The following is a 23,356-nucleotide window of genomic DNA, read 5'->3' on the forward strand; positions in this document are numbered from 1 at the left end:
GCTGCTGAAGGGGGACGGGGTCTCCATGGAGTTCCGGGGACCAGGCCACCCGCCTGTCACCTGGCCCCACAGGGCCCCAGAACACTGAGTCAGGACGCCTGTCCCCAAGTGATGAAGGTGGAGTTCTACCGCGACCAGCTGTCCCTCCCGCACCTAAGCGAGGGGCTTCCCCGGCTGGAGTCTGATGACAGTGGAGGGGCCAGCTGCCAACCGTCCCCAAACCCGTAGCCGGGCCTGGCGCTGAGCGGGCTGCAGAGGGGCCTGTGGGAGCCGGCGCCCCAGTGTCTCCTCCATCCTCCCCGCAGGCACCTCCAACTGGTCGGAGGATTACTTCAGCAGCACGGCGGGGGTGGGCTTGGTGGTCACCCAGAGCCCTGGCGCGCAGCCCGCGGGGGCCACGGTGCAGGAGCAGCTGCGGCAGCTCTTTGAGCGGGACTGGAGTTCGCGCTACGCCGTCGGCCTGGACGGACAGGCTCCGGGCCAGGACTGCGTTTGGCAGGGCTGAGGGGGGCCTCTTTTTCTCTCGGCGACCCCGCCCCGCACGCGCCCTCCCCTCTGACCCCGGCCTGGGCTTCAGCCGCTTCCTCCCGCAAGCAGCCCGGGTCCGCACTGCGCCAGGAGCCGCCTGCGACCGCCCGGGCGTCGCAAACCGCCCGCCTGCTCTCTGATTTCCGAGTCCAGCCCCCCCTGAGCCCCACCTCCTCCAGGGAGCCCTCCAGGAAGCCCCTTCCCTGACTCCTGGCCCACAGGCCAGGCCTAAAAAAAACTCGTGGCTTCCCGGTGCCTCTGTGTGAGTCCCGCGCGGGCGGCCCTTCATCCTCTTGCCAAGGGCCCGCCTCTATGCGCCCGCCCCTGCGAAACTGCGCCGCGCGACCGCCGTGGCAGCGCCTCAGCTAGCCCCGGGTCCGCGAGAACCTGGGGCGGGGCGGGGCGGGGACCAGACGGGCCTCCCAGGCGGAGCGAACCCTCCACCTCCCACCCCGCGCCGGGCTGCCGCGCTCCGGAACCCAAATTCCCGCCCCGAGGCTGCCGGGGGAAGCGAGAGGCGCGGAGCCCACGCCCGGGACTCCAGCGGAGGAAACGCAGACCAAGGCGCAGCGCCGCGCACCCACCGCCAGGGGGCAGCTCCTACGGCGCCGGACAGGGGCGGCGCGGGAGGGGAGCGGGGCTGAGGGGACCGGGAGGGCGGGAGGGGACCTGCGACTGAGGGGACAGGGAGGGCGGGAGGCGACCCGCGGCTGAGTGAGGGAAGGGCGGGAGGGGACCCGCGGCTGAGGGGACCGGGAGGGCGGGAGGCGACCCGCGGCTGAGTGAGGGGAGGGTGGGAGGGGACCCGCGGCTGAGGGGACAGGGAGGGCGGGAGGGGACCCGCGGCTGAGGGGACCGGGAGGGCGGGAGGCGACCCGGGGCTGAGTGAGGGGAGGGCGGGAGGGGAGCGGGGCTGAGGGGACCGGGAGGGCGGGAGGGGACCTGCGACTGAGGGGACGGGGAGGATGTGAGGCGATCCGGGGCTGAGTGAGGGGAGGGTGGGAGGGGACCCGCGGCTGAGGGGACGGGGAGGGCGGGAGGGGACCCGCGGCTGAGGGGACGGGGAGGGCGGGAGGCGACCCGGGGCTGAGGGGACGGGGAGGGCGGGAGGGGACCCGCGGCTGAGGGGACAGGTCCTGCGTGCGGGCTGGGGAGACAGGCGGGCGAGGGTAGGGGTGCACAAGGCTGTGTGGTTTGTGGGCTGTTGTGCAGGGTGGGTCCAAGCATGTGGGGGCAGGCTTGTCCTGGGGATGCAGTGCCCAGGGTTGGTGGATGGGGCTGAGAGGACCAGCATTTGAGCTGGAGGGCAGGAAGGTGACTCCAGTCTGAGACCAGGACTTGGATGCAGCTCCACTGGAACTCACCCTATCCTGGGAGCCACCTGGGCACCTGTCCTGCAGATGCAGGATTTGAACCCAGGTTTGGCAACTCAGTTCCCACTCTTCTGCTATGAATGCTGGGTCAGAAGGATTCTCAAAACACCCTGGCTTATCTCACCTGATGGTTCCTGACCAAGACCACAGGGTACCCTCCCCTGGTGGAGGTCCATGGGGCCATGCTAGGCTGGAGTTCAGGGATGGCTCAGCGGTATGAAGGAGCACTGGATGCTGAATGGACCCCAGGGTGCCCCGAATGCTCTCCCGGTCTTGAGGCACCACTTTCCTACCCTTCTCTACTTCTCTCCTTTTCCTACCCTTCTCTACTTTTTTCTTTCCTACATTTGTGTCCCTGCCACACTGTGAACTCAGCCATATCTTCCTCTTCCCTCTTTGCTTTGGGGAAAGCTAGCAAAGTTCATCTCAGGTACAGTACAAGTTACTTTTCTGTTCGATTAGTGACCTCATACTTCCCCCATCTAAAGGACACCTTAGACTTCAGCATTCTGTCTGTGCAGAAATCTCCTACACCCATCCTGCCTCCCTGCCCAAGCTTGTGAAAAGCTTGCTGCAGATGCTGCAGGGGGATAGGGATCCACATAGCCCTGCAAGGCCTTCAGGAGCTTCTGGGGGCTGCTTTGTGTGTGAGCTGCACTTGGCCAAGCCAAGCTCTGGCAGTTGCAGTGGCTGCTCCCTGTGGCTTCCTATCCCTCATTCATGCTCCATATCTCCTCAGTAACCATCTGGCAAAAAGCTTCGTGGCAACACCTGGCTCAGAAGCCGATATCATCCCAGACTAAGCTCTGCCCTCCAGGGTTGCACGTGTGGGTTTGCTCCCTGGTTCTTGGCCTTATACCTGAATGTGTCTCAGAGCACTTGGCCTGCTCTCTTGGCCTGCCAACTATGTTCTAGGAGGGCTCTGTGCTCCAGGCTGTGATTTGGACAACTGGCTGGTGGCCCTCAGCCAGTGAAAGGCCTCTTTCCACACACCTGGGGACTGGCAGTCACACCTCAGTGGCACTGACAGAGGCCTGCTTCAAGGCAGATGCCTATTCCAAAGGAAATCCAGCTTGACAAGGCTTGGGAGACCCCAGGAGGGTGCCACAATGTGGCCCCTTCTGGGCTATAGCAGACAGACTCTAGAATGGCTCCCTTGACCCCCACCTGCTGGTATGCATGCCCTTGTGTGATCTCACCTTGAGTGTGTGCAGGACCTGTGCCTTGTTGTAACCAATAGAATACAGAGGTAAGGGGATGTCACTCCTGTGACACCTTGTGATCATGTGACATAAGATTATAACATTATCAAGGAATAGCAGTCTATCCCTTGCTAGCTTTAAAAAGTGAGCTGCTAGGCTATGAGCTGTCCTATGAAGAGGCCCATGTAGCAGGGTACTGGGGTTGCCTCCAGCCCCCAACTAGCAAGAAACTGGGGCCCTCAATCATCCCATCCACAAGGAGTTGAGTGTGGCTAGCAACAACGTGAGCTTCAGAAGTGGCTGCTTTCCTGGTCATACCTGAAGGGGAGACCACAGCCCCAGCTGACATCTTGATTGTAGCCTAATGGGACCTTGAGCAGAGAACCCAACAAAGCCACACTTGGGCTCCTGATCCACAGAAACTGGGAGATCATAAATGTGTGTTGTTTTAAGTTGCTAATTTGTAGTGATGTTCTTATGCAGCATAGATAACTCATACACAGAGAACCAAGGCCACGCGAGAACCCTGTGGGGGCCCCTGCTGCTCAGCCACTCCTCACATGCTGGGACAGCTGTCTCTCTGGCCTCTAGCACCAAGGTCCCCACTATCCCAGGCCTTGACTCTTGGATCAGAGAGGGACAAAAGCCCCATGGAGCCAAGCAGACTCCTCCCCCTGGGCTGCACTCACCTAGCTTGTCTGGCACACACAAGTTGGAGTAGAGAAGGCAGGAAGCCCTGGGAAGGGAGAGGGTGATGGCCTTGCTTAACTGGGATGAGTGTCCACCAAATTTCCCTTCCCACTTCCCCTGCTCATGAGCCCCCAGGGGACCTGTGTCAGTTCACTTTCTAGAGGCTTCTATGTGCCCTAACTTGGATGACACCCACGGGCCTCCCCAACTCAGCACAGGGAACATATGCCCATGGTGGCATGGGGAAAGAACCCAGCCTCTCCCCTGCCCAGGCTCCTGCACCCCATAGCTGTCACCCCTCTGGAACCTCTCAGGGCAGCACGAGTGGTAGCCTCGGAGTGGCCTTCACCCTCCAGGCACTGCGGTCCTCCAGATTGGCTCACAGCCCAGCTCTTGCTCCCATATCCACAGCCATGAGAGCAGCCACCTCCCCAGGGGGCCATAAGCGCTTCTCACCAGGAGCCCACCTAGGCCAGGAGGGAGCTGGGGGCAAGTTCCAACTGCCCCCTTGAACACTGCATACCCATGAATCTGGCAGGGGCATCTGGGAAGAGATTTGACCACTGAAAGACTGTAGGGAAACCCTTGAACCTCAATCCGCTACGCCACGTGGATTTGCTTCCTGTGGGCTGCCCAAGAGCGCCTCTGTGGTGAAGGAAGCTTCTGAGGATGGGCCACTAAAGATGGCCAAGGTCACCTTTCTGTGCTGTCCCCACTCTGCACTCCATCTCCCATCCCACACTGCCTCCAGCTGGAGGGAGGGAGGGAGGGTTGTACGTCTGTGTCCCTGCCACACTGTGAACTCAGCCCTATCTTCCTTGTCTTCCTCACAGCCTCTGGCTCAGAGGAGGACCTGGACAAATGGATGATAGGTAGGCAACCACCCAAATGTTCCTCATTGACTGTTCTCTAGAGCTGCTTAGTAGAGACCAGGAGTGTGTGGGAGGAAAGCCCTGGTAAACTTCGACCCTGAGACAGAAGACCTCAGCAGCCTTCAGCATGGGATGCAGCACTTTCTTTATTGCCCATCCAGGGAACAGCCAAGCCAGCTCCATCTGCATTCTGGCTGCAGCGTGTACATTAGGGGACTCAGGGGCCACAGTGTGGGACCGTGCACACTGGCAAGGCACTGGCGGATGCTGGCAGGCCAGTGGACATGGATAGATGAGAATGACAACTCACAGATGTCCTAGCTTCTGCTGGCCCAGCTGCCAGCCACTGGCCATCACCCTTTTGCCCAGCATGTGTGCATTGTCACCCAAAACATCTTGAAACTTGCCATTAGTGAGGCATTCAACAAAGAAGTAAGCTAAGTGAGTAGGAAACAGTGTTTCCTGGAATATACCGCACTCTGCCTGAAATAGGAAAACTATGTTTGCCGGGAAGCAGCAGCAGCAGGAAAGAAGTTATACCAAAAACGACTTGTACACCACAGACATTATAACCCTTTCCTCAAAGAAACAGTCATGTTCTGTTGGGTATTATGGACAGGTCTCTGGAAATTTATCTAATAAAGACCAACAAACTTCCCCAGCAGTGCCTCTGAGTACCGTGTGAATTCTGGTGTCTTGTGGAAGTCAGGGTGCCTTCTTTGCATCCAAAGCTTTGAGGGAGCTGGGAAGCTTTGGTTCCATTTTAGGAGGGCTGTGTGATGGTGACAAAGGTGTTCTGGTCATTTCTGCTCTGTTCTCCGTTCTGTGAAGTGAGGTGGATGTAATGTGCTGTGGGATGGGGTGCTCCATATGTGTGTGTAGCCTTTACTTTCCAACTTAGTTTTTTGCATCTCTCTTGTACTGATGAGCCATACCTCTCAGCCTTCATTTGGTCCCAGGCCTGACCCTTTGCTTTCATCGTCAGCTTTTCTGTCCTGCTCGGGCAGGATTAACTCTGTTCTTGCCGCGGATGTCACCATCACTCTGGAGTCCAGCCCAGTGCCCACAGGCCCGATCAGTTCACCCTCTTCCTTCTCTTCAGGGGAGAAACTTTCTCGGGCATCAAAAAACGTGATTGTTTCTTCTTGAAGTTTTTGTTCTTCCAGCTCTGCCCCATCTTCGGTGCTTTTGCTTTTCTTGGTAGGAGATGAGGAGAACCCTAATTTGGGAAATCGGAACCAGCCTGCCTTCTCCTGTTTTTTAGGCAGTTCTGCCTCTGGTCGTGCCTCAGGCTGTGTTTGAATGGGAGCAGATCTCTGGACGTCATTTTTGGAATCAACACCTGTCTCATCAACAGAAGAGGAAAACCCAATGTTTGGAAGCCAAAACCAGAGCAGACCAGATTTTTTACTTTCTGGTTTGTCTTTTGGAGCCCTGCCTTCATCTGCCAGTGGTGTGGTTGCCTCTTGGCTATCATCAGGGGGAAACTCAAGAATTTCTGCTGGCTCCTCATCTGAACAGCTGTCTGCAAGCTGGTGGCCAGAAGGAACTTCAAATGTGAGTGTTTGCTGTCCCAGTACATTGACGCTGGAAGAGATCATCTCAAATGGTTCTCCAGTGTCAGGCTGGAGATCTCCAGAAATGGAGTCTACTCCTGGGGTGGCTTGTATGGGAGCCTCTTCTGTGCCCTCCTGAGTCCTAGAGTGTTGAGTCATTGTTGTGTACACTCTAGCCTGCGTGTGGGGCTCTGGGATTTTCACTTTTAATAAGGAAAATCCGTACGAAGGTGTTTGAATCTCTGACGTGGGGATCTCTGATTCCCGCACAATCTGAGTGGAAAAAGTCCTGGGTACTGAGAGATCTACAAACTCTGGTGTCACTATGCTGTGTATAGTGACCTCTTGACTTTCAACCTGAGCACCCTGAATATGCACTCTGACCTTTGAAATTGGGGGAGCTTCCAAAGGCAGGTTAAGGTCCACAGGCTGCTCCCCAGGGACCCCAGCACCTGCCTTCAGGATGCTGGCTCCCCAGAGCCCCGGACTTTCCTTACAAAGGGCTGTATCAATATTGGCCTCTGGACACTGCACTTCCCTCACAGTGGGGATGAACACATCATCCTCTGAGCTGGGGGCAGGGAAGGAGAACCTTGGTACCATTAATTTGGGGAATTTGACAGTTAGGACAGAATCTTCCCACAGTTGATCCACATTAACCACAGAAATCTGGGATGGCATATCAGTACTTGAAGCTTTCAATTTAAGTGGACCTTCAGGCTGGGAAGACCATTTCTCTGTTTTATCCTCCATGCTGGCAAGGTCATGTCCTGGCTTGGAAAGAGGAGTCTCATCTATTTCTCCTGGAAGAACCTGGGTTTCTGGAAGCCTCATGCCAGGCATCTGAAAAGGGAGAGGTCCTTTGGATGGATGGATCCTGACCTCAGAAGTGGAAAGCTCATCCCCAGTCATCCCAGCAGTGGAGAGGTGCAGCTTCAAGCCTGTGCTGTCAAGATCACACCTTAGAATATCTGTGGATGATTTGCTCTCAGAAGCTGTCACTTCTGCATCTGCCTCTGGGAGCTGTAGGGACATAGCTGCCTCCACGTTTGACCCAGAAACAAGGAACTCTTTGACTTTAGCTGCTGCTTCACCCCCTGTTGCTGCCGGTGCCTGTGTCTGAGCCACTTCCAGCTTTCCAGCCCCGCCTCTGTCCCTGAAAGAGCGCCTAAGGCTGGGCATGCGGAACTTGGGCATTTTAAACCAGCTTTCCTGCGAGTACTTGGTCATGGCTTCCTCCTCTGGGCTTTCCACTGTGAGGACTTCAGCATCTGGTTTTCTACAGGATGGCTGGAGGGGATCTTCAGGTGTGGGGGCTATCCCCTCCCCACAAGGCTGGCTCACTGGGACATCCCCGAGCCCACATCCTCTGCTGTCACCTTCGGTAGACAGATCATGTTTGGGAAGAGGCAGGTCAGCTTCAGGCTGGCTCACCTCCACCTTGGCCTTGGAGGATCTGAGATCAGGTTTGGCAAAGCCCAAACTGGGAATGTGGACCTGTGGCCGGTGGAGGTTCACACCCTCACTTCCTGTGGCACTTGCTGTTGCACCAAGTCCTCCCCTACCACCGTCACTGCTGGCCTTTTCTGTGTCTTGAAAGCTACCCCCTGCTGTGGCACTAGAAAGGGAAGGATCCACGTCTCTCTGTGGCAGGCTGACCCCACTCTTAGAAGCCTTCATTTTGGGAAGTGCAAGTTTTGGCATGGCAAAGCCAGGCTTTGTGCTCCTCCCCTTCTCTCCATCCCTCTCAGGAGGCAGATCCATGTGGATGGCAGACTGCGGGGCCACTTCATCCTTGTCTAAAACCAGGCTGAGTTTTGAGTCCTCCACGCTGCATTCTGGGTCCACCTTTGGCCCTGTTTCCTTCTTCGGGGACCACCTAAATGATGGAAGCTTAATCTTAGGCATTTTCAAGGGACTCCCTTTCCCTTCGTGGTCAGCATCTTCAGAAGGGGCTTCTCCAGGGGCCACTACTGATGTCTGCAAGGAGGCCACAAGCTCTTCTGGGCCCTGAGACACACAGGTGCCTGGGGATGGCAGCTGGGTGCTTGGCAAGGGGCACTGCACTCTTTCTCCAGGGCTAAGAGGAGACATGACTGGGGCACCCACTGCTGCATGTAGGTCTCCCTCAGGAACTGCCATTTGGGGGACTGAAAACACAAACTTTGGTTTATAGAATTTAGGAAAAGATACCTGACCAAGAGAAACAGGAATCATGGAATTCAGTGGGCCAGAGTGACTCTCAGCTTGAGATGTTGGAACTCCCTCTGGAGGCTGCAGGTCAGTGGAGCACTCTGTCTTGGGAAGAGGAATATCAGCCTGAGACCCAGAAGGAATTTCCAGAGCAAGCTCAGGGGCCAAGGCAGCTCTGGGAACAGTCACCTGGTATTTTGTAAGTGTAACATCCTCACAGGGAGAGAGAATAGAAGATTCAAAGTGAGGACCAGTGAGATCAAGCCGGGATGATGGAAACCCAGCAAAACCCACCTTAGGCATCTGCATGGATGGCTCTGAACAAGCCGAAACCTGTTGTAATTCAAAACTTGAGCATTCTGAAGATGATAAAGGAATCGTGGAAAGACCTATGCTAGACTTTGCACCTGGGACTAAACTATCTTTAGGAGTTTTGGTAGAAGAAAATGAAACTTTGGGCACTTTAAAATGCAGTTTCTTAAACTTCGAATCCATTCCAACTTCTCCAACAGCAAGCCCCAAGTTACCATCGCGAGATGGATCATGAAGATCACCTTCATGAACAACAGATTCCACAATGGGAAATGTGGAAGTCTTCTCATGGAATGTAACATTTCCTTCGATTTCAGAGGAAGACATGGAAACTTTCTTTGACGACCATTCAAAACCAGACGTGCTCAGTTTTGGTCCTTGAAACTTACTGTCTTTCCCAGCTACATCCTCGTGGGCCAGGGACAGGTCCCCCTCAAGCCGCGCACCATCCAGCATGGATCCTGGGGCCTGGACATCCGTCTCCACGCTGGGCAGAGACACCTCCACATCGGGGGCCATCACCTCTGCCTTTGGGCCTTTCAGGTCCAGCTTGGGGCCCTTGACGTCCACCTGGGGGCCCTTGAGGTCCACTTTGGGCATCTTGAAACTGGGCATCTCCACCTTGGGCAGGTGCCCTTTGAGGCCGGCTACCTCGGGCATGTGGCCTTCTGGAAGTTTCAAGTCCACCTGGCCAGCCTGGACCTCCAGGTCGGCGGAAGGGGCCTGAATGCGGAGGTCAGTGGTCTTGAGGTCCCCCTGCATGGAGGGAATGCTCATGTCGGCCTCCATCTTTGGCGCAGACACATCCACCGAGACCTCGATGGACTTGCCTGGGGACAACATCCCAAAGGATGGCATCTTGAACTTGGGCATTTTGAACTTGCTGTCTTTGGCAGTCACGTCCTTGTCAGCCAGGGACAGGTCCCCCTCCAGCCGCGTACTGTCCAGCTTGGCTCCTGGGGCTTGGATGTCCACCTCCATGCTGGGCAGAGACACGTCCAGGTTGGGGGACGTCACCTCCACCTTGGGGCCTTTCAGGTCCAGCTTGGGGACATTAACGTCTATCTGGGGACCCTTGAGGTCCACTTTGGGTACCTTGAAACTGGGCATCTGCAGCTTCGGCAGGTGCCCTTTGAGGCCGGCTCCCTCATGCACAGGGCCCTCTGGGAGTTTCACATCCTCTTGGCCAGCCTGGACCTCCAGATCAGCGGAAGGGGGCTGAATGCTGAGGTGAGTGGTCTTCAGGTCCCCCTGCATGGAGGGGAGGCTCACGTCAGCCTCCACCTTCAGCGCAGACACATCCAACGAGGCCTCGATGGACTTGCCTGGGGCAGACACCCCGAACGACGGCATCTTGAACTTGGGCATTTTGAACTTGCTGTCTTTGGCAGTCATGTCCTTGTCGGCTAGGGACAGGTCACCCTCCAGCCGCACACTGTCCAGCTTGGCTCCCGGGGCCTCGACGTCCACCTCCATGCTGGGCAGAGACACCTCCACGACGGGGGTCATCACATCCGCCTTGGGGCCTTTCAGGTCCAGCTTGGGGCCCTTGACATCCACCTGGGGGCCCTTGAGGGCCACTTTGGGCATCTTCAAACAGGGCATCTGCACCTTGGGGAGGTGCCCTTTGAGGCCGGCTCCCTTGGGCAGGGGGCCCTCCGGGAGTTTCACGTCCACTTGGCCAGCCTGGACCTCCAGGTCGGCGGAAGGGGACTGAATGCTGAGGTCAGTGGTCTTGAGGTCCCCCTGCATGGAGGGGAGGCTCACGTCGGCTTTCGCCTTCAGCTCAGACACATCCACGGACGCCTCCATGGACTTGCCTGGGGCCGACACCCCGAATGATGGCATCTTGAACTTGGGCATTTTGAACTTGCTGTCTTTGGCAGTCACATCCTTGTCGGCCAGGGACAGGTCCCCCTCCAGCTGCACACCATCCAGCTTTGCTCTCGGGGCCTGGACGTCCACCTCCATGCTGGACAGAGACATCTTCACATCAGGGGCTGTCACTTCCGCCTTGGGGCCTTTCAGGTCCAGCTTGGGGCCCTTAACATCTATCTGGGGGCCCTTGAGGTCCACTTTGGGCATCTTGAAACTGGGCATCTGCACCTTGGGCAGGTGCCCTTTGAGGCTGGCTCCCTCGGGCACGGGGCCCTCTGGGAGTTTCACGTCCACTTGGCCAGCCTGGACCTCCAGGTCAGCGGAAGGGGGCTGAACGCTGAGGTCAGTGGCCTTGAGGTCCCCCTGCATGGAAGGGAGGCTCACGTCGGCCTCCACCTTTGGCGCGGTCACATCCACTGATGCCTCCATGGACTTGCCTGGGGCAGACACCCCGAACGACGGCATCTTGAACTTGGGCATTTTGAACTTGCTGTCTTTGGCCGTCATGTCCTTGTCGGCCAGGGACAGGTCCCCCTCCAGCCGCGCACCATCCAGCTTGGCTCCTGGGGCCTCGACGTCCACCTCCACGCTGGGCAGAGAAACCTCCACATCAGGGGCTGTCACTTCCACCTTGGGGTCTTTTAGGTCCAGCTTGGGGCCCTTGATGTCTATTTCAGGGCCCTTGAGGTCGACTTTGGGCATCTTGAAACTGGGCATCTGCACCTTGGGCAGGTGTCCTTTGAGGCCGGCTTCCTCGGGCACGTGGCCCTCCAGGAGTTTCATGTCCACCTGGCGAGCTTGGACCGTCAGGTCGGCAGAATGGGGCTGAATGCTGAGGTCAGTGGTCTTGAGGTCCCCCTGCATGGAGGGGAGACTCACATCGGCCTCCACCTTGGGTGCAGACACGTGCACCGAGGCCTCAATGGACTTGCCTGGGGCAGACACCCCAAATGACGGCATCTTGAACTTGGGCATTTTGAATTTGCTGTCTTTGGCAGTCACATCCTTGTCGGCCAGGGACAGGTCCCCCTCCAGCTGTGCACTATCCAGTTTGGCTCTTGGGGCCTGGACGTCCACCTCCACGCTGGGCAGAGACACCTCCACATCAGGGGCTGTGACTTCCGCCTTGGAGACTTTTAGGTCCAGCTTGGGGCCCTTGATGTCCACCTGGGGGCCCTTGAGGTCCACTTTGGGCATCTTCAAACTGGGCATCTCCACCTTGGGCAGGTGCTCTTTGAGGCCGGCTCCCTCGGGCACCTGGCCCTCCGGGAGCTTCACATCCATCTGGCCAGCCTGGACCTTCAGGTCGGCAGAAGGGGGCTGAATGCTGAGGTCAGTGGTCTTCAGGTCCCCCTGCATGGAGGGGAGACTCACATCGGCTTCCACCTTGGGTGCAGACACATCCACCGAGGCCTCCATGGACTTCCCTGGGGCCGATACCCTGAATGACGGCATCTTGAATTTGGGCATTTTGAACTTGCTGTCTTTGGCAGTCACGTCCTTGTCAGCCAGGGACAGGTCTCCCTCCAGCCGCCCAGCATCCAGCTTGGCCTTCGGGGCCTGGACATCCACCTCCACGCTGGGCAGAGACACCTCGACATCGGGGACTCTCACTTCTGCCTTGGGGCCTTTCAGGTCCAGCTTGGGGCCCTTAACATCTATCTGGGGGCCCTTGAGGTCCACTTTGGGCGTCTTTAAACTGGGCATCTCCACTTTGGGCAGGTGCCCTTTGAGGCCGGCTCCCTCGGGCACGGGGCCCTCCAGGAGTTCCACATCCACTTGGACAGCCTGGACCTCCAGGTCAGCGGAAGGGGGCTGAATGCTGAGGTCAGTGGCCTTGAGGTCCCCCTGCATGGAGGAGAGGCTCACGTCGGCCTCCACCTTCGGCGCAGACACATCCAGCGAGGCCTCGATGGACCTGCCTGGGGCCGACACCCCGAAGGAGGGCATCTTGAACTTGGGCATTTTGAACTTGCTGTCTTTGGCAGTCACATCCTTTTCAGCCAGGGACAGGTCCCCCTCCAGCCGCGCACCATCCAGCTTGGCTCTCGGGGCCTGGACGTCCACCTCCACGCTGGGCAGAGACACCTCCACATCAGGGACTGTCACTTCCGCCTTGGGGACTTTTAGGTCCAGCTTGGGGCCCTTGATGTCCACCTGGGGGCTCTTGAGGTCCACTTTGGGCATCTTGAAACTGGGCATCTCCACCTTGGGCAGGTGCCCTTTGAGGCCAGCTCCCTCGGGCACGTGGCCCTCCGGGAGCTTCACGTCCACCTGGCCAGCCTGGACCTCCAGGTCCACAGAAGGGAGCTGAATGCTGAGGTCAGTGGTCTTGAGGTCCCCCTGCATGGAGGGGAGGCTCACGTCGGCCTCCGCCTTCGGCGCAGACACATCCACCGAGGCCTGGATGGACTTGCCTGGGGCAGACGCCCTGTACGACGGCATCTTGAATTTGGGCATTTTGAACTTGCTGTCTTTGGCAGTCACATCCTTGTCGGCCAGGGACAGGTCCCCCTCCAGCCGTGCACCATCCAACTTGGCTCCTGGGGCCTCGACGTCCACCTCCATGCTGGGCTGAGACACCTCCACGTCGGGGGCCGTCACATCCATCTTCGGGCCTTTCAGGTCCAGCTTGGGGCCCTTGATGTCTATCTGGGGGCCCTTGCGATCTACTTTGGGCATCTTGAAACTGGGCATCTGCAACTTGGGCAGGTGCCCTTTGAGGCCAGCTCCCTCGAGAACGTGGCCCTCTGGGAGCTTCACGTCCACCTGGCCAGCCTGGACCTCCAGTTGGGCAGAGGGGGGCTCAATGCTGATGTCAGTGTTCTTCAGGTCCCCCTGCATGGAGGGGAGGCTCAGGTCGGCCTCCACCTTTGGCGCAGACACATCCACCAAGACCTCAATGGACTTGCCTGGGGCAGACACCCCGAACGACGGCATCTTGAACTTGGGCATTTTGAACTTGCTGTCTTTGGCAGTCACATCCTTGTCGGCCAGGGACAGGTCCCCCTCCAGCCGTGCACCATCCAACTTGGCTCCTGGGGCCTCGACATCCACCTCCATGCCGGGCTGAGACACCTCCACGTCGGGGGCCGTCACGTCCGTCTTCGGGCCTTTCAGGTCCAGCTTGGGGCCCTTGACATCTATCTGGGGTCCCTTGCGATCTACTTTGGGCATCTTGAAACTGGGCATCTGCAACTTGGGCAGGTGCCCTTTGAGGCCAGCTCCCTCGGGAACGTGGCCCTCTGGGAGCTTCAGGTCCACCTGGCCAGCCTGGACCTCCAGTTGGGCAGAGGGGGGCTCAATGCTGATGTCAGTGGTCTTCAGGTCCCCCTGCATGGAGGGGAGGCTCACTTCGGCCTCCACCTTCGGCGCAGACACATCCACCGAGACCTCAATGGACTTGCCTGGGGCAGACACCCCGAACGACGGCATCTTGAACTTGGGCATTTTGAACTTGCTGTCTTTGGCAGTCACATCCTTGTCGGCCAGGGACAGGTCACCCTCCAGCCGTGCACCATCCAGCTTTGCTCTCGGGGCCTCGACGTCCACCTCCACGCTGGGCAGAGACACCTCCACGTCGGGGGCCGTCACCTCCGCCTTGGGGCCTTTCAGGTCCAGCTTGGGGCCCTTGACGTCTATCTGGGGGCCCTTGAGATCCACTTTGGGCATCTTGAAACTGGGCATCTGCACCTTGGGCAGGTGCCCTTTGAGGCCGGCTCCCTCGGGAACGTGGCCCTCTGGGAGTTTCACGTCCACCTGGCCAGCCTGGACCTCCAGTTGGGCGGAGGGGGGCTGAATGCGGATGTCAGTGGTCTTAAGATCCCCTTGCATGGAGGGGAAGCTCCCGTCAGCTTCCACCTTCAGCTCAGACACATCCACCGAGGCCTCGATGGACTTGCCTGGGGCCGACACCCCGAATGACGGCATCTTGAACTTGGGCATTTTGAACTTGCTGTCTTTGGCTGTCATGCCCTTGTCGGCCAGGGACAGGTCCCCCTCCAGCCGCGCACCATCCAGCTTTGCTCTCGGGGCCTGGACGTCCACCTCCATGCTGGACAGAGACATCTTCACATCGGGGGCTGTCACTTCCGCCTTGGGGCCTTTCAGGTCCACGTTGGGGCCCTTAACATCTATCTGGGGGCCCTTGAGGTCCACTTCAGGCATCTTGAAACTGGGCATCTGCAGCTTGGGCAGGTGCCCTTTGAGGCCGGCTCCCTCGGGAACGTGGCCCTCTGGGAGTTTCACATCCACCTGGCCAGCCTGGACCTCCAGTTGGGCAGAGGGGGGCTGAATGCTGATGTCAGTGGTCTTAAGGTCCCCTTGCATGGAGGGGAGGCTCATGTCGGCTTCCACCTTCAGCTCAGACACATCCACCAACGCCTCGATGGACTCGCCTGGGGCCGACACCCTGAATGATGGCATCTTGAACTTGGGCATTTTGAACTTGCTATCTTTGGCTGTCACACCCTTGTCGGCCAGGGACAGGTCCCCCTCCAGCCGCGCACCATCCAGCTTTGCTCTCGGGGCCTGGACGTCCACCTCCATGCTGGACAGAGACATCTCCACATCGGGGGCTGTCACTTCCGCCTTGGGGCCTTTCAGGTCCAGCTTGGGGCCCTTGACATCTAGCTGGGGGCCCTTGAGGTCCATTTCAGGCATCTTGAAACTGGGCATCTGCACCTTGGGCAGGTGCCCTTTGAGGCCGGCTCCCTCCGGCACAGGGCCCTCTGGGAGTTTCACGTCCACTTGGCCAGCCTGGACCTCCAGGTCAGCGGAAGGGGGCTGAATGCTGAGGTCAGTGGCCTTGAGGTCCCCCTGCATGGAGGAGAGGCTCCCGTCGGCCTCCACCTTCGGCGCAGACACATCCACCGAGGCCTCGATGGACTTGCCTGGGGCAGACACCCCGAATGACGGCATCTTGAACTTGGGAATTTTGAACCTGCTGTCTTTGGTAGTCACATCCTTGTCCGCCACAGACAGGTCCCCCTCCAGCCACGCACCATCCAGCTTGGCTCCCGGGGCCTCGACATCCACCTCCACGCTGGGCTGAGACACCTCCACGTCGGGGGCCATCACGTCCGTCTTGGGGCCTTTCAGGTCCAGCTTGGGGCCCTTGACATCTATCTGGGGGCCCTTGAGATCTACTTTGGGCATCTTGAAACTGGGCATCTGCAGCTTGGGCAGGTGCCCTTTGAGGCCGGCTCCCTCCGGCACGGGGCCCTCTGGGAGTTTCACATCCACTTGGCCAGCCTGGACCTCCAGGTCAGCGGAAGGGGGCTGAACGCTGAGGTCAGTGGTCTTGAGGTCCCCCTGCATGGAGGGGAGGCTCACGTCGGCCTCCACCTTCAACGCAGACACATCCGCTGAGGCCTCGATGGACTTGCCAAGGGCAGACACCCCAAACGACAGCATCTTGAACTTGGGCATTTTGAACTTGCTGTCTTTGGCAGTCACGTCCTTGTCGGCCAGGGACATGTCCCCCTCCAGCCGCGCACCATCCAGCTTGGCTCCTGGGGCCTTGACGTCCACCTCCACGCTGGGCAGAGACACCTCCACATCAGGGGCTGTCACTTCCACCTTGGGGTCTTTTAGGTCCAGCTTGGGGCCCTTGATGTCTATTTCGGGGCCCTTGAGGTCCACTTTGGGCACCTTGAAACTGGGCATCTGCAGCTTGGGCAGGTGCCCTTTGAGGCCGACTTCCTCGGGCACAGGGCCCTCCAGGAGTTTCACGTCCACCTGGCCAGCCTGGACCTTCACGTCGGCGGAAAGGGGCTGAATGCTGAGGTCAGTGGTCTTGAGGTCCCCCTGCATGGAGGGGAGACTCATGTCGGCCTCCACCTTGGGTGGAGACACATCCACCGAGGCCTCGATGGACTTGCCTGGGGCAGACACCCCAAACGACGGCATCTTGAACTTGGGCATTTTGAACTTGCTGTCTTTGGTAGTCAGGTCCTTGTTGGCCAGGGTCAGGTCCCCCTGCAGATGCGCACTATCCAGCTTGGCTCTTGGGGCCTGGACGTCCACCTCCATGCTGGGCAGAGACACCTCGACATCGGGGACTCTCATTTCCACCTTGGGGTCTTTTAGGTCCAGTTTGGGGCCCTTGATGTCCACCTGGGGGCCCTTGAGGTCCACTTTGGGCATCTTCAAACTGGGCATCTCCACCTTGGGCAGGTGCCCTTTGAGGCCAGCTCCCTCGGGCACGTGGCCCTCCGGGAGCTTCACATCCACCTGGCCAGTCTGGACCTTCAGGTCGGCAGAAGGGGGCTGAATGCTGAGGTCAGTGGTCTTCAGGTCCCCCTGCATGGAGGGGAGACTCACGTCGGCCTCCACCTTGGGTGCAGGCACATCCACCGAGGCCTCGATGGACCTCCCTGGGGCCGATACCCCGAACGACGGCATCTTGAATTTGGGCATTTTGAACTTGCTGTCTTTGGCAGTCATGTCCTTGTCGGCCAGGGACAGGTCTCCCTCCAGCCGCGCACCATCCAGCTTAGCCTTCTGGGCCTGGACATCCACCTCCATGCTGGGCAGAGACACCTCGACATCGGGGGCTGTCACTTCCGCCTTGGGGCCTTTCAGGTCCAGCTTGGCGCCCTTAACATCTGTCTGGGGGCCCTTGAGGTCCACTTTGGGCATCTTGAAACTGGGCATATCCACCTTGGGCAAGTGCCCTTTGAGGCCGGCTCCCTCGGGCACCTGGCCCTCCGGGAGCTTCATGTCCACTTGGCCAGCCTGGACCACCAGGTCTGCAGAAGGGAGCGGAATGCAGAGGTCCGTGGTCTTGAGGTCCCCCTGCATGGAGGGGAGGCTCACTTCGGCCTCCACCTTCGGCGCAGACACATCCACCGAGGCCTCGATGGACTTGCCTGGGGCAGACACCCCGAACGACGGCATCTTGAACTTGGGCATTTTGAACTTGCTGTCTTTGGCAGTCACATCCTTGTCGGCCAGGGACAGGTCACCCTCCAGCCGCACACTGTCCAGCTTGGCTCCTGGAGCCTCGACGTCCACCTCCACGCTGGGCAGAGACACCTCCACGTCGGGGGCCATCACCTCCGCCTTGGGGCCTTTCAGGTCCAGCTTGGGGCCCTTGACGTCCATCTGGGGGCCCTTGAGGGCCACTTTGGGCATCTTCAAACTGGGCATCTGCACCTTGGGGAGGTGCCCTTTGAAGCCGGCTCCCTCGGGAAGGGGGCCCTCCGGGAGTTTCACGTTCACTTGGCCAGCCTGGACCTCCAGGTCGGCGGAAGGGGACTGAATGCTGAGGTCAGTGGTCTTCAGGTCCCCCTGCATGGAGGGGAGGCTCACATCAGCTTCCACCTTCGGCTCAGACACATCCACCGAGGCCTCGATGGACTTGCCTGGGGCCGACACCCCAAATGATGGCATCTTGAACTTGGGCATTTTGAACTTGCTGTCTTTGGCAGTCACCGCCTTGTCGGCCAGGGACAGGTCCCCCTCCAGCTGCGCACCATCCAGCTTTGCTCTCGGGGCCTGGACGTCCACCTCCATGCTGGACAGAGACATCTTCACATCGGGGGCTGTCACTTCCACCTTGGGGCCTTTCAGGTCCAGCTTGGGGCCCTTAACATCTATCTGGGGCCCCTTGAGGTCCACTTTGGGCATCTTGAAACTGGGCATCTGCACTTTGGGCAGGTGCCCTTTGAGGCCGGCTCCCTCGGACACAGGGCCCTCTGGGAGTTTCACGTCCACTTGGCCAGCCTGGACCTCCAGGTCAGCAGAAGGGGGCTGTATGCTCAGGTCAGTGGCCTTGAGGTCCCCCTGCATGGAGGGGAGGCTCACGTCGGCCTCCACCTTCGGCGCAGACACATCCACTGAGGCCTCGATGGACTTGCCTGGGGCAGACACCCCGAACGACGGCATCTTGAACTTGGGCATTTTGAACTTGCTGTCTTTGGTAGTCAAGTCCTTGTCGGCCAGGGACATGTCCTCCTCCAGCCGTCCACCATCCAGCTTGGCTCCTGGGGCCTCGACATCCACCTCCACGCTGGGCAGAGAAACCTCCACATCAGGGGCTGTCACTTCCACCTTGGGGTCTTTTAGGTCCAGCTTGGGGCCCTTGATGTCTATTTCAGGGCCCTTGAGGTCCACTTTGGGCACCTTGAAACTGGGCATCTGCAGCTTGGGCAGGTGCCCTTTGAGGCCGGCTCCCTCGGGCACGGGGCCCTCTGGGAGTTTCACGTCCAATTGGCCAGCCTGGAGCTCCAGGTCAGTGGAAGGGGGCTGAATGCTGAGGTCAGTGGTCTTGAGGTCCCCCTGCATGGAGGGGAGGCTCATGTCGGCCTCCACCTTGGGTGCAGACAGGTCCACGGAGGCCTCAATGGACTTGCCTGGGGCAGACACCCCGAACGACGGCATCTTGAACTTGGGCATTTTGAACTTGCTGTCTTTGGCAGTCACGTCCTTGTCAGCCAGGGACAGGTCCCCGTCCAGCTGTGCGCCATCCAACTTGGCTCCCGGGGCCTGCATGTCCACCTCCACACTGGGCAGAGACACAGCCACTTCGTGGGCCGTCACCTCTGCCTTATGACCTTTCAGGTCCAGCTTGGGGCCCCTGACTTCCACCTGGGGGCCCTTGAGGTCCACTTTGGGCATCTTCAAACTAGGCATCTGCACCTTGGGCAGGTGCCCTTTGAAGCCGGCTCCCTCAGGCACGTGGCCCTCCAGGAGCTTCACGTCCACCTGGCCAGCGTGGACCTCCAGGTCAGCGGAAGGGGGCTGAATGCTGAGGTCAGTGGTCTTGAGGTCCCCCTGCATGGAGGGGAGACTCACGTCGGCCTCCACTTTGGGTGCAGACACATCCACCGAGGCCTCGATGGACTTGCCTGGGGCTGACGCCCCGAACGATGGCATCTTGAACTTGGGCATTTTGAACCTGCTGTCTTTGGCAGTCACATCCTTGTCGGCCAGGGACAGTTCCCCCTCCAGCCGCGCACTGTCCAGCTTGGCTCCCGGGGCCTCGACGTCCACCTCCACGCTGGGCAGAGACACCTCCACATCAGGGGCTGTGACTTCCGCCTTGGGGCTTTTCAGGTCCAGCTTGGGGCCCTTGACGTCCACCTGGGGGCCCTTGAGGGCCACTTTGGGCATCTTGAAACTGGGCATCTCCACCTTGGGCAAGTGCCCTTTAAGGCCAGCTCCCTCGGGCAGGTGGCCCTCCGGGAGCTTCACATCCACCTGGTCAGCCTGGACCTTCAGGTCAGTAGAAGCAGGCTGAATGCTGAGGTCAGTGGTCTTCAGGTCCCCCTGCATGGAGGGGAGACTCAGGTCGGCCTCCACCTTGGGTGCAGACACATCCACCAAGGCCTTGATGGACTTCCCTGGGGCCGATACCCCGAACGACGGCATCTTGAACTTGGGCATTTTGAACTTGCTGTCTTTGGCAGTCACGTCCTTGTCGGCCAGGGACAGGTCCCCCTCCAGCCACGCACCATCCAGCTTGGCCTTCTGGGCCTGGACATCCACCTCCATGCTGGGCAGAGACACCTCGCCATCGGGGGCTGTCACTTCCGCCTTGGGGCCTTTCAGGTCCAGCTTGGGGCCCTTAACATCTATCTGGGGGCCCTTGAGGTCCACTTTGGGCATCTTGAAACTGGGCATCTCCACTTTGGGCAGGTGCACTTTGGGGCCGGCTCCCTCGGGCACAGGGCCCTCCGGAAGTTTCACATCCACTTGGCCAGCCTGGACCTCCAGGTCAGCGGAAGGGGGCTGAATGCTGAGGTCAGTGGCCTTGAGGTCCCCCTGCATGGAGGAGAGGCTCACGTCGGCCTCCACCTTCGGCGCAGACACATCCACCGAGTCCTCCATGGACTTGCCTGGGGCCGACACCCCGAATGATGGCATCTTGAACTTGGGCATTTTGAACTTGCTGTCTTTGGCAGTCACCTCCTTGTCGGCCAGGGACAGGTCCCCCTCCAGCCGCGCACCATCCAGCTTTGCTCTCGGGGCCTGGACGTCCACCTCCATGCTGGACAGAGACATCTTCACATCGGGGGCTGTCACTTCCGCCTTGGGGCCTTTCAGGTCCAGCTTGGGGCCCTTGAGGTCCACTTTGGGCATCTTCAAACTGGGCCTCTGCACCTTGGGCAGGTGCCCTTTGAGGCTGGCTCCCTCGGGCAGGGGGCCCTCCGGAAGTTTCACATCCACTTGGCCATCCTGGACCTCCAGGTCAGCGGAAGGGGTCTGGACGCTGAGGTCAGTGGTCTTGAGGTCCCCCTGCATGGAGAGGAGGCTCACGTCGGCCTCCACCTTCGGCGCAGACACATCCACCGAGGCCTCCATGGACTTGCCTGGGGCTGACGCCCCGAACAATGGCATCTTGAACTTGGGCATTTTGAACTTGCTGTCTTTGGTGGCCACTTCCTTTTCTGTCAGAATTTGTTCCTTTTTTAAGCGTTTTTCATCGTGTATTAGTTGTATTTTTGTTGTGTTTGTCATTGAGTCACTGTCTTCTTTGTCTTTTAATCCTTCCTCTGTGCGTCTCTGTTCTCTTCTATCAGCTGTTGCTGTGGCCTCTCCTTCCCTTCCCTGCTCTGTGTCTTCTGTGGCTTTTTCTCTGCCTGTCTTTGTGTGCTTGCTTGGCGACCATCCTAAGGAGGGTATCTTGAACTTGGGCATTCTTATCTGTCCTTCTGTGTCTTCCCTGCCCTTGTCCTGTTCCTCAGTGATCCTTGTCCTCTGTAGTCCTTCCTCTCCATCTCCTTCATCCCCCTGTGCTTCTGCATGTGTGGTTGGTTCCCTGCCCGGCATCCACCCGGCTCCTTCCACCTCCTCACCCTTCAGGCCAGTACCCGCTTTTGAGGACGCATCCTGTCTCTTCCCTCGCTGTGGGGTACTAAGGCGCCTTTCTCTTTCTGGCTCTTTTTCTGTGGAAAATGCAAATTTTGGTGTCTTTAAATCGTGTACTCGCACCCTAATTTCTGGTGGGCCAATCTGTGTGCCTCCTTCGGTTGTGTCTCTCAAGGACAGTCTGGCGATCCCGATTTCCAGGCTCTGCAGTCCCTCGCCTTCACCCTCCCGGCTCATTCCAGGAGTTGGCTGGGCCCTGGGCTTCCTCTGGGCCACTGCTGTCTCCTGTGCCTGCCCCTCCAGGGTCTTTCCATGGAGCCTGGCTGCCCTGAGTCCCCCTTCCTGAGGGGTTCCCTCGCAAAGTCTAGGGTCACCGAGCTCTGTGGGCAATGGCATGCTCTGAGCAGGCATCACTTCTCGATCCTGTTCTGCCCTCTCCTCTCTCCTGCTGCCTGTGGCAGCCCCAGTCTCCTCGAGGCTATCACCCCAGGGCCCCAACTCTTCCAGGACCCCAGCACGGCCCACCCCACTCTGGAACCCCCTGCCTGGCTGTCCTGTCGATGAAGGGCCCTGTCCCGAGCCTGTCCTGAATCTGAGGTTGAGGAACTTCCGCCTCCTCTGGCTGCCCGGCCCTGCCTTCTGCTCTTGGCGCTCCACCGTGAGCTGGGCCTCTGTGTCTGTGCTTGTAGGGGACACGTCATGTGCGTCCCTAGGTTCGTAGGCCTCTGACGAGCTGTGTGACCTCTGGGGTCCCGGCCCCCGCTTGCTCTTTATGGATTGAAATTTTGGCCAAGAGAGCCTCTCCCTCTGGCTCTGCCTGCCTCTCCCCACCCTTGGTTTGGAGATGAGTCTCTCTTGGTCCCCATCTCCTTCCAGAGTTTTCGTGGGGGTCTCTCTGCACCCATCAGCAACATCCGTGTCCTGAAACATAGGGAGAGGGAATCTGTTGGTGCCAGTCCAAGAAGCCTGGGGCCCTGGCCCAGGGACAGATGGAGTGGGAGTGCTATCCCCTCCCAGGCTCAGCCAGCAGGGTAGTGAAGCCAGCTGGGGCCCTGCCCCCCGGGCATAGTGGTCTCACCTCCTTCTCCTTGCCCTGTGGGCCGTGCTGGGCATCGCTGGAAGCCCACTCTTCATCCTGTGGGGCAGGGAGCTGCCGTCTGATTTTGAACTGAACCTTGTACGGCTCTGAATATTGAAGGATTTTGAGAGCATCTTCATATTTTATGTTTTCAAAGAACACGGTTGTACTGAGCAGCTGATCCCCTAGACCAAGAAAGAGCAGCCCCAGGGCCGGGTGTGTGAATGAGACGGGGTCTGCTGTCTTGCCTTGGCTGGCGAGGAGGGTCCCGGGGACATGAATAGGGGGAATCCCACTGAGTCTGCCCCACCAGTCCCCCACTGAGTGCCTCAGGCACAGGCAAGGTGGATGGGGTCCCCCATTTTACTAGATGCAGTGGGTGATCCCAGCCTCAAGCTGTTGAGCAGAGGCGTGAGGAGGTCATCCTAAGCTCCAGGTGTGGTTCTTACCCCTCAATACCCCCCTCCAGGTCCCTCCCATCCTGGTGGGGAGAATGGTGACCCCAGGGATGGAACTGCCATGGCACCTTCTCTCAAGTTAAAAAGCTTGGCGGCTGAGGAGTCCTTCAGCACTTGCTTGACGAAGATCCCCTGGTCCCCACCACCTGTGACACTGTAGCCACTGGCTCCTGCCTCCACCTCTGTCTTCAGCGTCACCTCTGTTGCCTCCTGGACAGCCTGGAGCAGAAGCACATCAGGGCCATGGTGAGCATGTGCCAGTCCCACCATAAGCATCCCTGCTGGGGCCTGTGTCTCCAGAGGATGGGCACCCCACCATCCTTTCCATCAGCCCAGACAACACAGAGCAGAGTAGGGTACCCACCAGGTGGGCTCAGGTAGCTGTCTCTGAGCTCTGGAGG

General features: G+C 59.0%; 2 protein-coding genes across 7 annotated transcripts in view, besides 3 other annotated features; one reads left to right on the forward strand and one right to left on the reverse strand.

Moving 5' to 3' along the window:
- Positions 1 to 743: part of an enhancer, noted in NCBI's record as "H3K27ac-H3K4me1 hESC enhancer chr14:105398641-105399539 (GRCh37/hg19 assembly coordinates)", that runs on past the window's edge. NCBI's record gives its function as "activates a minimal SCP1, AML or CMV promoter by ChIP-STARR-seq in naive H9 embryonic stem cells {active_cell/tissue: H9 hESC(naive)}" and the evidence as "EXISTENCE:reporter gene assay evidence [ECO:0000049][PMID:30033119]".
- Positions 1 to 5,326, forward strand: part of PLD4 (phospholipase D family member 4) — a 12,907-nt gene extending 7,581 nt beyond the window's left edge. The window contains exon 11 of one of the 3 annotated variants that reach the window (NM_001308174.2): positions 306 to 5,326. In NM_001308174.2, coding sequence (NP_001295103.1) covers positions 306 to 505 — 200 coding nt within the window. In that variant the 3' untranslated portion in view covers positions 506 to 5,326. The remainder of the gene's footprint in view (positions 1 to 305) is intronic. The other 2 variants (XM_011536411.3, NM_138790.5) reach the window with 2 other exon arrangements.
- Positions 748 to 1,207: a silencer, noted in NCBI's record as "silent region_6206". NCBI's record gives its function as "represses an Ori minimal core promoter by ATAC-STARR-seq in GM12878 lymphoblastoid cells {active_cell/tissue: GM12878}" and the evidence as "EXISTENCE:reporter gene assay evidence [ECO:0000049][PMID:35858748]".
- AHNAK2 (AHNAK nucleoprotein 2) overlaps positions 4,794 to 23,356 on the reverse strand; it is a 41,122-nt gene continuing 22,559 nt past the window's right edge. For all 4 annotated transcript variants that reach the window (NM_138420.4, NM_001350929.2, XM_047430904.1 and 1 more), the window contains exons 5-7: positions 23,024 to 23,174; positions 22,498 to 22,682; positions 4,794 to 22,340 (exon numbers count right to left, since the gene is read on the reverse strand). In NM_138420.4, coding sequence (NP_612429.2) covers positions 5,604 to 22,340; positions 22,498 to 22,682; positions 23,024 to 23,174 — 17,073 coding nt within the window. In that variant the 3' untranslated portion in view covers positions 4,794 to 5,603. The remainder of the gene's footprint in view (positions 22,341 to 22,497; positions 22,683 to 23,023; positions 23,175 to 23,356) is intronic.
- Positions 7,036 to 7,536: an enhancer, noted in NCBI's record as "H3K4me1 hESC enhancer chr14:105405832-105406332 (GRCh37/hg19 assembly coordinates)". NCBI's record gives its function as "activates a minimal SCP1, AML or CMV promoter by ChIP-STARR-seq in naive H9 embryonic stem cells {active_cell/tissue: H9 hESC(naive)}" and the evidence as "EXISTENCE:reporter gene assay evidence [ECO:0000049][PMID:30033119]".

The sequence above is a fragment of the Homo sapiens genome, chromosome 14, assembly GCF_000001405.40.
Source record: "Homo sapiens chromosome 14, GRCh38.p14 Primary Assembly".
Lineage (NCBI taxonomy): Eukaryota > Metazoa > Chordata > Mammalia > Primates > Hominidae > Homo > Homo sapiens.